The sequence below is a fragment of the Homo sapiens genome, chromosome 7 (genome assembly GCF_000001405.40).
Source record: "Homo sapiens chromosome 7, GRCh38.p14 Primary Assembly".
NCBI classification, from domain to species: Eukaryota; Metazoa; Chordata; class Mammalia; order Primates; family Hominidae; genus Homo; species Homo sapiens.
This window is the reverse complement of record NC_000007.14, coordinates 6894398-6907161: the sequence shown is the minus strand read 5'-3', so window position 1 is coordinate 6907161 and position 12764 is coordinate 6894398. Positions and strand designations below refer to the sequence as shown.

General features: G+C 47.6%; 1 pseudogene, besides 2 other annotated features; it reads left to right on the top strand.

Moving 5' to 3' along the window:
* Positions 3179–3833: an enhancer, noted in NCBI's record as "H3K27ac-H3K4me1 hESC enhancer chr7:6942960-6943614 (GRCh37/hg19 assembly coordinates)". NCBI's record gives its function as "activates a minimal SCP1, AML or CMV promoter by ChIP-STARR-seq in naive H9 embryonic stem cells {active_cell/tissue: H9 hESC(naive)}" and the evidence as "EXISTENCE:reporter gene assay evidence [ECO:0000049][PMID:30033119]".
* Positions 4490–5144: an enhancer, noted in NCBI's record as "OCT4-NANOG-H3K27ac-H3K4me1 hESC enhancer chr7:6941649-6942303 (GRCh37/hg19 assembly coordinates)". NCBI's record gives its function as "activates a minimal SCP1, AML or CMV promoter by ChIP-STARR-seq in naive and primed H9 embryonic stem cells {active_cell/tissue: H9 hESC(naive and primed)}" and the evidence as "EXISTENCE:reporter gene assay evidence [ECO:0000049][PMID:30033119]".
* Positions 6538–11562, top strand: EVA1CP3 (EVA1C pseudogene 3; annotated as a pseudogene).

The window sequence follows — 12764 nt, the reverse complement described above, 5'->3', positions numbered from 1 at the left end:
GGTCTGTTTGTGAAGCCTTGTGGCAGTACAGCCCAGGTAATTTGCTGAGCCTGATGGGTGTCAGGGTCAGTCCAAGTGAAAGCAAAGAGAGGCTGGGATGACGGGTGCAAAGGAATAGTAAAGAAAGCATGTTTGAGACCCAGAACAGAATAATGGGTTGTGGAGGGAGGTATTGAGGATAGGAGAGTATATGGGTTTGGCACCACAGGGTGGATAGGGAAAACAATTTGGTTGATAAGGCGCAGATCCTGAACTAACTTGTAAGGCTTGTCTGGTTTTAGGACAGGTAAAATGGGGGAATTGTAAGGAGAGTTTATAGGCTTTAAAAGGCCATGCTGTAGCAGGAGAGTGATAACAGGCTTTAAATGTTTTAAAGCATGCTGCGGGATGGGATATTGGCGTTGAGTGGGGTAAGGGTGATTAGGTTTTAACGAGATGGTAAGAGGTGCATGATTGGTCACCAAGGAGGGAGTGGAGGTATCATATACTTGTGGGTTAAGATGGGGTAATACAAGAGGAGGATGTGAAGGAGGCTTTGAACTGGGGTAAAATGTGGCAATGAGGTGTGGCTGTACCCAGGAATAGTCAGGGAAGCAGATAATTTAGTTAAAGTGTCTCGGCCAAATAAGGGAACTGGGCAGGTGGGGATAACTAAAAAGGAGTGCTTAAAAGAGTGTTGTCTAAGTTGGCACCAGAGTTGGGGAGTTTTAAGAGGTTTAGAAGCCTGGCTGTCAATACCCACAACAGTTATGGAGGCAAGGGAAACAGGCCCTTGAAAAGAAGGTAGTGTGGAGTGGGTAGCCTCCGTATTGATTAAGAAGGGGACGGACTTATCCTCCACTGTGAGAGTTACCTAAAGCTCGGCATCCATGATGGTCTACGGGGCTTCCGAGGCACTCAGGCAGCGTCAGTCTTCAGCCGCTAAGCTGAGAAGGGGTCAGTCAGAGAAGCTTGGGCCAGAGTTCCAAGGGCTCTGGGAGCAGCTGCCAGTGAGTTGAACAGTCCGATTTCCAGTGGGGTCCCGCACAGATGGGACGTGGCTTAGGAGGAATCCCGGGCTGCGGGCATTCCTTGTCCTGGTGGCCAGATTTCTGACACTTGTAGCAAGCTCTTGGGGGAGGATGTTGCGGAGGAACGCCTGGCCACTGCGGTTCAGGCATTTGGAAGTTCTTGTGTGCTGGAGATGTGGCTGGGATTTGTCTCACAGTGGAGGTAAGGAATTACAACTTTTTTCTATTATTGTACACCTTGAAGGTGAGGTTAATTAAATCCTGCTGTGGGGTTTGAGGGCCAGAATTTAATTTTTGGAGTTTTATTTAATGTCGGGGGCAGATTGGGAAATAAAATGTATATTGAGAATTAGACGGCCTTTTGACTTTTTAGGGTCTAGGGCCGCAAAGCGTCTCAGGGTTGCTGCCGAACAAGCCGGGAACTGGGCTGGATTTTTATATTTGATGAAAAAGAGGCTAAATGCTATCTGATTTGGGATAAAGAAAAAGGAGCATTAACCTTGACTATGTCTTTAACTCCAGGCACCTGTTTAAGAGTAAATTGCTGGGCAGGTTGGGGAGGGCTAGTCATGGAATGAAACTGTAAGCGGGACCCGGTGTGAGGAGGGGAGGTGATAAAAGGATTATAGGGTGGAGGAGTAGAGGCTGAGGAAGAATTGGGACCTAGCTCATCCTGGCGAGGAGCAGCCTGGGGAGGAGGGGAGAGGTCAGATGGGTCTGTAGAAAAGGAAGATTAGAAAGACTCAGCAATGCTTGGGTTTGGGACGGAGGGGACAGGTGGGAGGGAAAGGAGGAAGATTTGGGATGAGTTGCTTTGGGCACAGACTAGGAAGGGACTGATGTGTGAAAGAATGCCTGGAAGTCAGGCACCTCAGACCGTTTGCCTATTTTACGGCAAGAATTATTTAGATGTTACAGGATGGAAAAATTGAAAGTGCCGTTTTCTGGCTATTTGGAACTACTGTTGAGTTTGTATTGGGGTCAAGCAGCATTGCAGAAGAAATAAGATGCTTAGATTTTAGGTCAGGTGAGAGTTGAAGAGGTTTTAAGTTCTTAAAAATACAGGCTAAGGGAGAAGAAGGAGGAATGGAGGGTGGAAAGTTGCCCATAGTGAAGGAAGCAAGCCCAGAGAAAAGAGAGAGTAGAGACACGGAGGGAAGGGGTTCGGGGGTTCTTACTCTCCAGAAAAGTGGGAAAGGGGTGGGGGCGCAGAGATATGAGGTCCAGGCATGGAAATAAGGGATTGGGGTGCAGAGATATAAGAGGTCAGGGTGTGGAAATAAGGGATTGGGGCACAGAGAAAAGGGGTCGGGGTGCGGAAATAAGGGATTGGGGTGCAGAGGTACGAGGTTGGGGTACTTGTACCTCCCCCAGAAAAGTGGGACTTGCCACTAAGGGTGAAGGAGAAGGGGTTGAGCGGTACTTGCCCCTCCCCCAGAAAAGCAGAGAAGGGGTAGAGACACGGAGAGAAGGGGTTGGGGTACTTGTGCCTCCCCCAGAAAAGCGGGACTTGCCGCTAAGGGTGAAGGACCAAGGCAGGCGTCCCTGGGTGGTCTGACACCTTTGAAACGTGGTTGAATAATCAGGCATCCCTGCAATGATTAAACACCAAGGGAAATGTGCCTTCTCAGTCCATGACCGGTGCCAGAGTTTTGGGTCCATGGATAAAACGTGTCTCCTTTTTCTCTACTAGAAAATGAAAGGAATTGAAATTAAGAGAAGGGAGAGATTGAAGACTGGAAAGGAGAAAGTGGTTGATGGACAGAGAGAGGTTGGAGAAGAGAGTAAGAAGAGGCCGCTTACTCGATTTAAAATTGGTGAGATGTTCCTTGGGCTGGTGGGTCTGAGGACCTGAGGTTGTATGTGGATCTTTTTCATGGAGCAAAGAACAGGAGGACATGGGATTGATCTCCCAAGGCAGGTCCCCCGATCTGAGTCACGGCACCAAATTTCATGTGCGTCCATGTGAAGAGACCACCAAAGAGGCTTTGTGTGAGCAACATGGCTGTTTATTTCACCTGGGTGCAGGTGGGCTGAGTCTGAAAGAGAGTCAGCAAAGGGAGATAGGGGTGGGGCCGTTTTATAGGATTTGGGTAGGCAAAGGAAAATTACAGTCAAAGGGAGGTTGTTCTCTGGCAGGCAGAGTCGGTGTCACAAGGTACTCAGTGGGGGAGGTTTTGAGCCAGGATGAGCCAGGAGAAGGAATTTCATAAGACAACGTCATCAGTTAAGGCAGGAACAGGCCATTTTCACTTCTTTTGTGGTGGAATGTCATCAGTTAAGGCAGGAACCGGCCATCTGGATGTGTACATGCAGGTCACAGGGGCTATGATGGCTTAGCTTGGGCTCAGAGGCCTGACACCCAGGGCAGGCTGGCTCAGCCCCTTTGACTTCAGATTTCAGGGAAGGCCAGGGAGCTGGATTGGGTGCCTGGATTTTCTGAGAATTATGTTTCTGAGAGGATTTTGAAACCTAAACAGGAATACTTTACACACAGGTGGTCAAGCAGGAACTGGGAAGTTCTGAAGCTGCCCTCCTTCACACCACCTCCTCCCTTCAGAGGCCAAGGGCGGCCAAGCTGTCTCCCACACACCTCAGTGAAAAGCCCCTGGCTCTCCTCCCAGCCACCTCGCTGTGACCTCGTGAGGTGTGAGAAGGAGGAAGGGGATCTACGTTCTGGATGAGCCTTCCTTCCTCCTTGCCGAGAAATAGTTTAGGCCACGTGCCTGCTAGGCCTCAGACTTCTCAGAGCCCAGGGCCCACTGTGGCTTCTGCAAGCTGCCTGGGAATTCCACGGAGTCTGACTGGCTGCCTGTCTTATTCCCAGTCTGCTGCAACCCATTTCCTAAGCTTGGGTGGCTGAAAACAACAAATTCATCCTCTCACAGTTCTGGAGGCCAGAGTCTGAATGCAGATGTTGGCAGGGCTGTGCTGCCTTTGAAGGTTCTAGGGAAGAATCCTTCCTGACTTTTTCCAGTTTTGGGTGGTGGCTGGCAATGCGTGGCATTCCTTGGCTTCAGATGCATCATTCCAGCTGCACATGGCTGTCTTCCCTCTGAGTCTCTTCTTCTTTTAAGGATACCAGTCACATGGTGTGAAGGGCCCACCTTACTCCAGTATGTCACCAGGTTAATTCGTTACACCTGCAACCACCCAATTTCCAAATGTCACATTCTGAGGTTCCTGATTGAAGGGGTGGGTTGCCCCTCCACACCTGTGGGCGTTTCTCATTAGGTGGAATGAGAGACCTGGAAAAGAAAGAGACACAGAGACAAAGTATAGAGAAAGAAAATAGTGCCCAGGGGACGGGCGTTCAGAATACGGAGGACCCATGCCGGCAGCAGCCTCTGAGTTCCCTTAGTATTTATTGATAATTTTCAGGCGTTTCCAGAGAGGGGGATTTGGCAGGACAATAGGGTAAGAGCGGAGAGAAGGTCAGTAGGAAAACACGTGAACAAAGCTCTCTACATCTTAAACCAGATAAAGAATTAAGTGCTGTGCTTTTGATGTGCATACACATAAACATCTTAATCCATTAAAGAGCAGTATTGCTGCCAGCATGTCCCACCTCCAGCCCTAAGGTGGTTTTCCCTTATCTCAGTAGTAGGAATATACAATCGGGCTTGACACCAAGACGTTCCATTGCCCAGGGACAAGCAGGAGACAGATGACTTCCTCTTAGCTCACCTGCAAAGAGGCCTTCCTCTTTCACTAATCCTCCTCAGCACAGACGCTTTACAGGTGTTGGGCTGGGGGGGTGGTCAGGTCTTTCCCTTCCCAGGAGGCCATATCTCAGGCTATCACATGGGGAGAAACCTTGGACAATACCTGGCTTTCCCAGGCAGAGGTCCCTGTGGGCTTCAGCAGTGTTTTGTGTCTCTGGGTACTTGAGATTAGGGAGTGGTGATGACTCTTAACGAGCATGCTGCCTTCAAGCATTTGTTTAACAAAGCACACCCTGCGGAGCCCTTAATCCATTTAACCCTGAGTTGACACAGCACATGTCTCAGGGAGCACAGGGTTGGGGGTAGGGTTACAGATTAACAGCATCTCAAGGCAGAAGAATTTTTCTTAGTACAGAACAAAATGGAGTCTCGTATTTCTACTTTCTACACAGACACAGTAACAATCTGATCTCTCTTTCTTTTCCCCACATTGATGAACGTGAATTTGAGAGGACACCATTCAACCCACAGCAGAGCCCCACCATCGCTTCTCTGCACAGGGCACCCTGCCTGTCTTTCCTCTCCAGCACCAAGACAGAGCCAAGAGTGATTTCTTGAAATGAAACTGCATCCTCTCATCCCAATAAGGCATGGCCTCACTAGTGGGAGATGAGAAAATGAAAGCCTCCCTCAGGATGGGCATCCACACGTCCAGGGGATACTCATCCCAATTGTTTTTTCCTGGTTTACAGAGGTGCTTCAGGACTTCTTGGCTCCTGGCCAATACCTTAGTGCTTCCTGAAGGGGAAAGAGCCCTCCAAACCATTCAGTGGGCCTAGACCAAGGTTTCTGACCCAGACATTGAAACAGGAGGAGTACCCTTATCCCCCTTGCAGGGCATGCTACAGGGGCATGGCTCGCTTCTCAGTACCCTGCTGCTCAAACCCCTAGAGGGAGCGTGTAGAGGGGCATGTCGTGGGGAGCATTTCTGGGATCTGGCCCCACAGAAGCGTGTGGAATTGGGTGTTTACAGCTCCCGAAGCCCCAGTGGGCATGTGTTACAGTGGTCTCCTTCAGTTTTGCCATCTGCAGGTGGCTTGTGTTAATCAGCTCAGTTAGGCCCTCTGCCTTATCACAAAGACAGAGGGCTTTCTGTATCCCGGGTTCTTGCCCTAGTGTACTTGAAAAATCAGATTGCCCGTGGACTTGGAGAATGAATGCAAGATTTTATTGAGTGGAGGAGGTGGCTCTCAGATGGATGGGGAGCCAGAAGGGGGATGGAGTGGGAAGGTGATCTTCTGCTAGAGTCGGGCTGCCTAGTAGCCACACTCTCCTCCGACCACCCCCTACTGAATTCCACATCTCCCCACTGTCAAAAGCCTGCCAGCATCTGCTGATGTCTTTCAGTGTGCTCTCCTGCTTCTCTGCTCCTCTCGATGTCCAGCCACTTGTGTCTGTGCCCACTAGGATCTTGGGTTTTTTATGGGCACAGGATGGGGGTCATAGCAGGCCAGAGTAGTCTTGGAAAATGCAACATTTGGACAAGAAAACAGGAGTGCCTGTTCTCACTAAGGTCCAAGGGCACAAGCCCGAGGGCAGAGCCCTCGACAGTGACCCCACCCTTCTCTACCCAGCACTCCCCTGCCCCCCTTCCATATCAACATGAAAGCTGACATTGGCTCCTGTGCCCCACCTCTGGGCCTGGTTTGGTGACCTCTGCACCAGAGCTGCTAGGGAGGCCCCACCCCACATGTTGTTAACTCAACAGCCCTTCCCCAGGGGAACCAACGTCCTCCTGTCCCCAAACCCAAGGAGGAGTGGTGGGTTTCTGGAACTCTTGTAACCCGACTGAATATTTACCAGGTTACCTAACCAAACTCCTGCAAAACCACACCACATATGCCTGTGATGGGGACTATTTCAATCTACAGTGCCCTCGGCATTCTACGATAAGTGTCCAATCGGCATTTTATGGGCAAGATTACCAAATGTGTAGTTCCCAGAAGCCTGCCTCCCAGAGGGAAGACAGCTTAACCTGTGTGGCACCCACCACCTTCCAGGTATTGCCTTTTATAGACACGTTAAGATGATACGGTTTCAACAGACACTCCTTCTCTCTCTCTGGGTATAAATATATTTGTGATTAGGTAGTTCATTCCAAGCAAAACTGATCCATGAAAAATCCCAACTTATACAGATCACCAGTTTTGTAGGTGAGCTATTATTTGCTTCTCAAAGAAATTGTTACCCAACAAAACTAAACAGAATTCCTATCTATTGTAGAGCCCCCTTTGTATACTTCAGTATGAATTTAGTTGTAGGTTTACTCCTTACTTCAGTATAGCAAAGTACAACCAGGATAGATTCCAACCTCCAGGCTCATATCTCCCATAAATACTCCTATAGAAAGGGAAGGTGGGTTCTTTAAAGGAAGCCACATGTATCTCTGAGGCAGACATCTGAACTCATGACCAAGTTCTTAGAAAATGTACTCAAAGGGCCAGGCACGGTGGCTCCTGACTGTAATCCCAGCACTTTGGGAGGCCAAGGCAGGTGGATCACAAGGTCAGGAGATTGAGACCATCCTGGCTAACACGGTGAAACCCTGTCTCTACTAAAAATACAAAAAATTAGCCAGGTGTGGTGGTGGGCGCCTGTAGTCCGAGCTACTCCAGAGGCTGAGGCAGGAGAATAGCATGAACCCGGGAGGCGGAGCTTGCAGTGAGCAGAGATCGCGCCACTGCACTCCAGCCTGGGCGACAGAGTGAGACTCCGTCTCAAAAAAAAAAAACAAAAACAAAAAAAAACAAATCATTATTAAACATTTTTACTAATTAAATGGTTTTGGAATACAGTCTTTTAAAAAAACAATTAACTATGTTTTCTTCAACAGTGCACACACAATGCCAACTTTGTATGACATTGCAAAGAAAGATTTTACCATGATAAGCGGATTAAACAAACTAACTTTTCCTTGAATTCTTTGGGAACAAAGTACAACCTGGTCCAAATCATCCTAACCTAGAATGCACCATCAGTTTGACCGTCAGTTGTTCCTGGTTTTACCAGATTTGGGGCAGACTTTTCATGCTTCTCTAAAGAGGGATTCTTAACTGACACCGTGCCTTGTTTTTGCCCTTTTCCTAGGAAAGGAAATGATTTGATTTGGTATCATGTCATCTTTATTGCTTTTTTTTTTTTAACTTAGAGATGAGGCCTTGCTATGTTTCCCAGGCTGGTCTCCAACTTCTGGGCTCAAGTGATCCTCCTACCTCAGCCTCCCTCCCAAAATGCTGGGATTACACTTGTGAGCCACTGTGCCTGGCCTCTTTCTTGTCTTTTAAACAAATAAATGTAAGCTGGGCATGGTGTGCATTCATATATTCCCAGGTACTTGAGAAGCTGAGGCGAGAGGATCCCTTGAGCCTAGGTTTGAGCCCAAGAGTTCAAGGCTGCAGTGAGCTATGATTGGACCACTGCACTCTAGCCTGGGTAACAGAGTGAAACCCTGTCTCTAAAAAACTAAACTAATGCAGGGCGTGGTGGCTCATACCTGTAATCCCAGCACTATGGGAGGCCGAGGTGGGCGGATCACGAGATCAGGAGATCGAGACCATCCTGGCTAACATGGTGAAACCCCGTCTCTACTAAAAATACAAAATTATCTGGGCATGGTGGCGCATGCCTGTAATCCCAGCTACTCGGGAGGCTGTGACAAGGAGAATCACTTGAACCTGGTAGGTGGAGTTGGCAGTGAGCTGAGATCTCACCACTGCACTCAGCTTGGGTGAGAAGGGTGAAACTCTGTCTCAAAAAAAAAAAAAAAAAAAAAAAAAAAACCAGACACGGTCCTGTTTTCATGGGGTGAACAGTTGAGGGAGAAAGGCAAGCATTAACCAAATAGACAGACACATCATCATGCCCTATTGTGACAAATGCTATTTTAGAAAAGGGAAGAAGACTATAGCAGTGGAGGGGGCCTAATTTAGCTTGGGGGTGGTGGTTTAAGTGTTCCAAAGAGAACCATCCTGTAGGGTGAACACTAGGGTATGCGCACTAGCTGCACACTAGGGGCTGAGACGCTGAGGCTGCTGAGTGGGAGAGGAAAGGTGTTGATGAGGAGGAAGATGGCCCTGGTTTAAACTGCTGAGAACAGGGTCCTGCACACAGTAGGAGCTCCATGAAGAGTGGTCCCTAGTGTTTTCACCAACATATCTGAAGTGGAGCAGGACGGTGATCAATCACACCCAAGTCCCCGACCTCATTCTGAACCAGTTTGAAACAAGGAGATGCAAAAATCTGACAAGTGTGTTGACAACGGTGATTTTAAAGGTCCTAAGAGATTCTCTGGATTTCAGAACCAATTTCACATGGTAGAGGGGCACATTCCCTGCAGTGGCCTGTGTCATCCACAGCCAATTTCACCTTTTCACTGCCTGGTGATTCTGCAAAGTGCATCCTAGAATGACCTTCCTCTCTGAGCTCCTCTTCAAAATTCTGATTCTTTCTCAAACTGTAAAGCCTCTGGCATTTGCCAAGAGCCAAGGCCCTCCTGAAGCCACAGTTTGAGAACAAGCCAAGAGGCAGACATGAGAAAGAAGTCCTACCCCTGGCAGGGAGAGCTGACACTTCCCAGGCCACTGTATCCTTCTCTGGGCCCAGAAATGAATGCGAGGTAATTAAAGCAGAAAGCATTTTGCAGCAGCTCCGCTCAGCTCTCCGAAGCTGCCATGGTCCCAGGATCAGTGGTGGGCCCTGAGGACAGCCAAGGGACATTTCTCGAGGCCCTGGAAATCATCAGCCACCTCCAGCAACTTCACCGGGCCTCCCTGGGAAGTCTCCCTTGCTGCTGAGGGGCACCAAGGTACCAGGGCCTCTTGTACATGGAAAACTCACAATCTAGGAATGTCCTGTGGTTGTTGATCCTGGGACATCCCCAGAAGAATTTAGTTAAGCCCTCCAAGAAAGGAAACAAGGTTTTCTTGCTGCTGAAGATGTCTCACTTGTTCTTTTTTTAAAAAGCAGTGCAACTGAATTTGCAGTTTGTTTTCGCTTTCTTTCCATTTCCTGTTGCTACTTCTCCAAGATCTCAGCTGGGCTGAGGAACAAATAAAAATAAGCAGTTTTATGCAGGAGGAATATTCGGTTTCCACTCCCTTCTCCCAGCCTGCGGCAGTGTGCTTGGCCTGCAGAATTCTTGCTCTGTCCTCTGTTTCAGCGGGTGCTGTCATCTGCCAGCAGCTTTGCCTGGGGATTCTGACATCCCAGGGCTTATTCTTAGGTTCAGTTCAGCAGAGTCTTCAACCACCTTCAAAGGGGTCGGTCACGCTGCCATCCTCTCTGCATCTTTCTGTAGTCCTTTCTGATAATATTTAGCAAATCACTTTAGCACAGAGTCTTCGAATTCTTTCCAGATTTACGATGGAAACACAGAGGCAAAGAGCTTGGGGTAGAAAGCAGAAGAGCAGGTGCTGGGAGAGTTTGATGGTGGATTTTGAGTTGGTCACAGTCATTTTGCTTTATTGAGTCCAGGGAAGCTCATCTTCAGAGTTAACCACCATATATATATATATATATATATGTTTTTTTTTTTTTTTTTTTTTTTTGAGATAGAGTCTTCCTCTGTCACCCAGGCTGAAGTGCAGTGGCACACTCTCAGCTCACTGCAACCTCCACTTCCTGGGTTCAAGTGAGCACGTCTGGCTAATTTTTGTATTTTTTAGTAGAGACGGGGTTTCACCAAGTTGGCCAGGCTGGTCTTGAATTCCTGACTCAAGTGATCCACCTGCCTCAGCCTCCCAAAGTGCTAGGATTACAGGCATGAGCCACCGTGCCCGGCCCAGAGTTAACCACTCTATTGACGTGTTGTTTATTTTTCTTAAAATTCTATTACACGTGAATAAAATTCAATGATTTGTAGTAAATTTAGAGTTGTGCAACCATCACTACCCTCCAGTTTTAAAACATTTTCACAATGCCCCGAAGCTCCCTTGTGCCCATTTGCCGTCACTGTCCCATTCCCAGCCCCCCGGTCCCAGGTCACCACGCATCTACTTTCTCTCTAGATTTGCTTTTTCTGAATATTTCATACAAATGGAATTATGCAATGGATGGTTTTGTGTGTGTGTGCACGGCTGACGTCTTTAACTGAATGTAATGTTTCAGAGGTTCATCCATGTTGTAGCATGTATCGTATCAGTACTTCACTTTTTTTTTTGGAGTTGAAGTCTCACGCTGTCACCCAGGCTGGGATGCAGTGGTGCGATCTTTGCTCACTGCAACCTCTGCCTCCCGGGTTCAAGCAATTCTCCCTGCCTCAGCCTCCCAAGTAGCTGGGATTACAGCCTTGTGCCACCAAGCCCAGCTAACTTTGTATTTTTAGTACAGATGGGGTTTCAAATATGTTGGCCAGGCTGGTCTCGAACTCCTGACCTCAAGTAATCTGTCCACCTCGACCTCCCAAAGTGCTGGGATTACAGGTGTAAGCCACCATGCCGAGCTTTTCATTCCTTTTTATTACTGAGGTGTATTCTTCTGGATGGATATATCATATCTTGTTTTTAGTCTCCATTTTTTAAATATTGCAAAATGGGCCTAAAACCACCTCTCTGGAGCATTTGATGATCACGTGGATACCATTGGGTTGTGTGTATGTGTGTGTATGTAACAGGGAGAGGGAGTGACTCTTGCACCGATTTGGAAAGTGATTTTAAAATCTTACCTACATTGCATTTAAAAATATATTAAGAGTCCACATTTTAAAAATATACCACGTATTTAAAATATTTCTTTTTGGCTTTTAGTTCCCAAGAACATACTCACAGTGATTGATCCAGCCATTGCTAATCTAAAACCTTCTTTGAAGCAGAAAGATGGTGAATATGGTAATTTTTATGGCTTACTACCAGCGGTTCTCTTTAAGTAAAGGTAAACAGCCCCTGGGTGACCACTGTTGGGCACATCTTGATTAGAATGGAAGGGGCTGTCAGGAGGTGTGTTTGAGGTACCAGTCCTGGTGATTATAGTGCTTTGGCCAATAGTTGCAATGAACACCAATTTATTTTGTTTTGACTTTTTTAACATCAGAAGTAGATAAACCTCCCCTTCATTCTCCTCTCACTTCCTAAAAGGAAAATCACTTTGAAAAGACATCTGCTCAGAAATAAATTTGGGCTTCCTGGGTTACACAATGAGCTTTTTGCAAAGCTCAGCCCATTGGAACCTGCGTAGGCACCAGTGCCGGCTAGGACCTGAGGGCCTCTGTACCTCTGTACAAGCCACCTTCCTCCTTAGCTTCCTTCCTCCCTCCCTCTCTCCCTCCCTCTCTCCCTCTCTCTCTTTCCTTCCTTCCTTCTTTTCCTTCTTCCTCTTCTTTCTTTCTTTCTCTCTTTTTCTCTTTCTTTCTTTCCCTCCCTCCCTCCCTCTCTCCCTCTCTCTCTCTCTTTCTCTCTTTCTTTCTTTCTTTCTTCCTTCCTTTCTTCTTTTTCTTTGGAGTTTCGCTTTTTCTCACCCAGGCTGGAGTGCAGTGGTGCAATCTCCACTCACTGCAACCTCTGCCTCCGGGTTCAAGTGATTCTCCTGCCTCAGCCTCCCAAGTAGCTGGGATTATAGGTGTCCACCACCACACCTTGCTAATTTTTGTGTTTTTAGTAGAGACGGGGTTTTACCAGGTTAGTCAGGCTGGTCTCGAACTCCTGATCTCAGGTGTTCCCCTCGCCTCAGCCTCCCAAAGTGCTAGGATAACAGGTGTGAACCACTGCACCCGGTCCCTCCTTAGTTTTCACTTGGCTTTTGTAAATGGGGTGGACGGATGCGGGGTGGTTGAAGGGGTTGAGCATTTGGATCTTCTTAACAAATCTAGAATGCAATTCAAACCCATGGGGTCCCTAATAGAAATTGCAGAGACCCAGTAGAGCATCTAAGATGTTAGGCTTAGGTGAGAGTTTTGTCTCGTGTTACCTTTATTGTATGTATTAGGTCTTTCCCGGCTAAGTATAAAATTAAAGTATGTTTGATATGAAAACCACATGAAAGCATCCCTAGTCCAAAAGCTCAGAGAGAACTATGGTAATGTTCTTCTGTGTCCTTC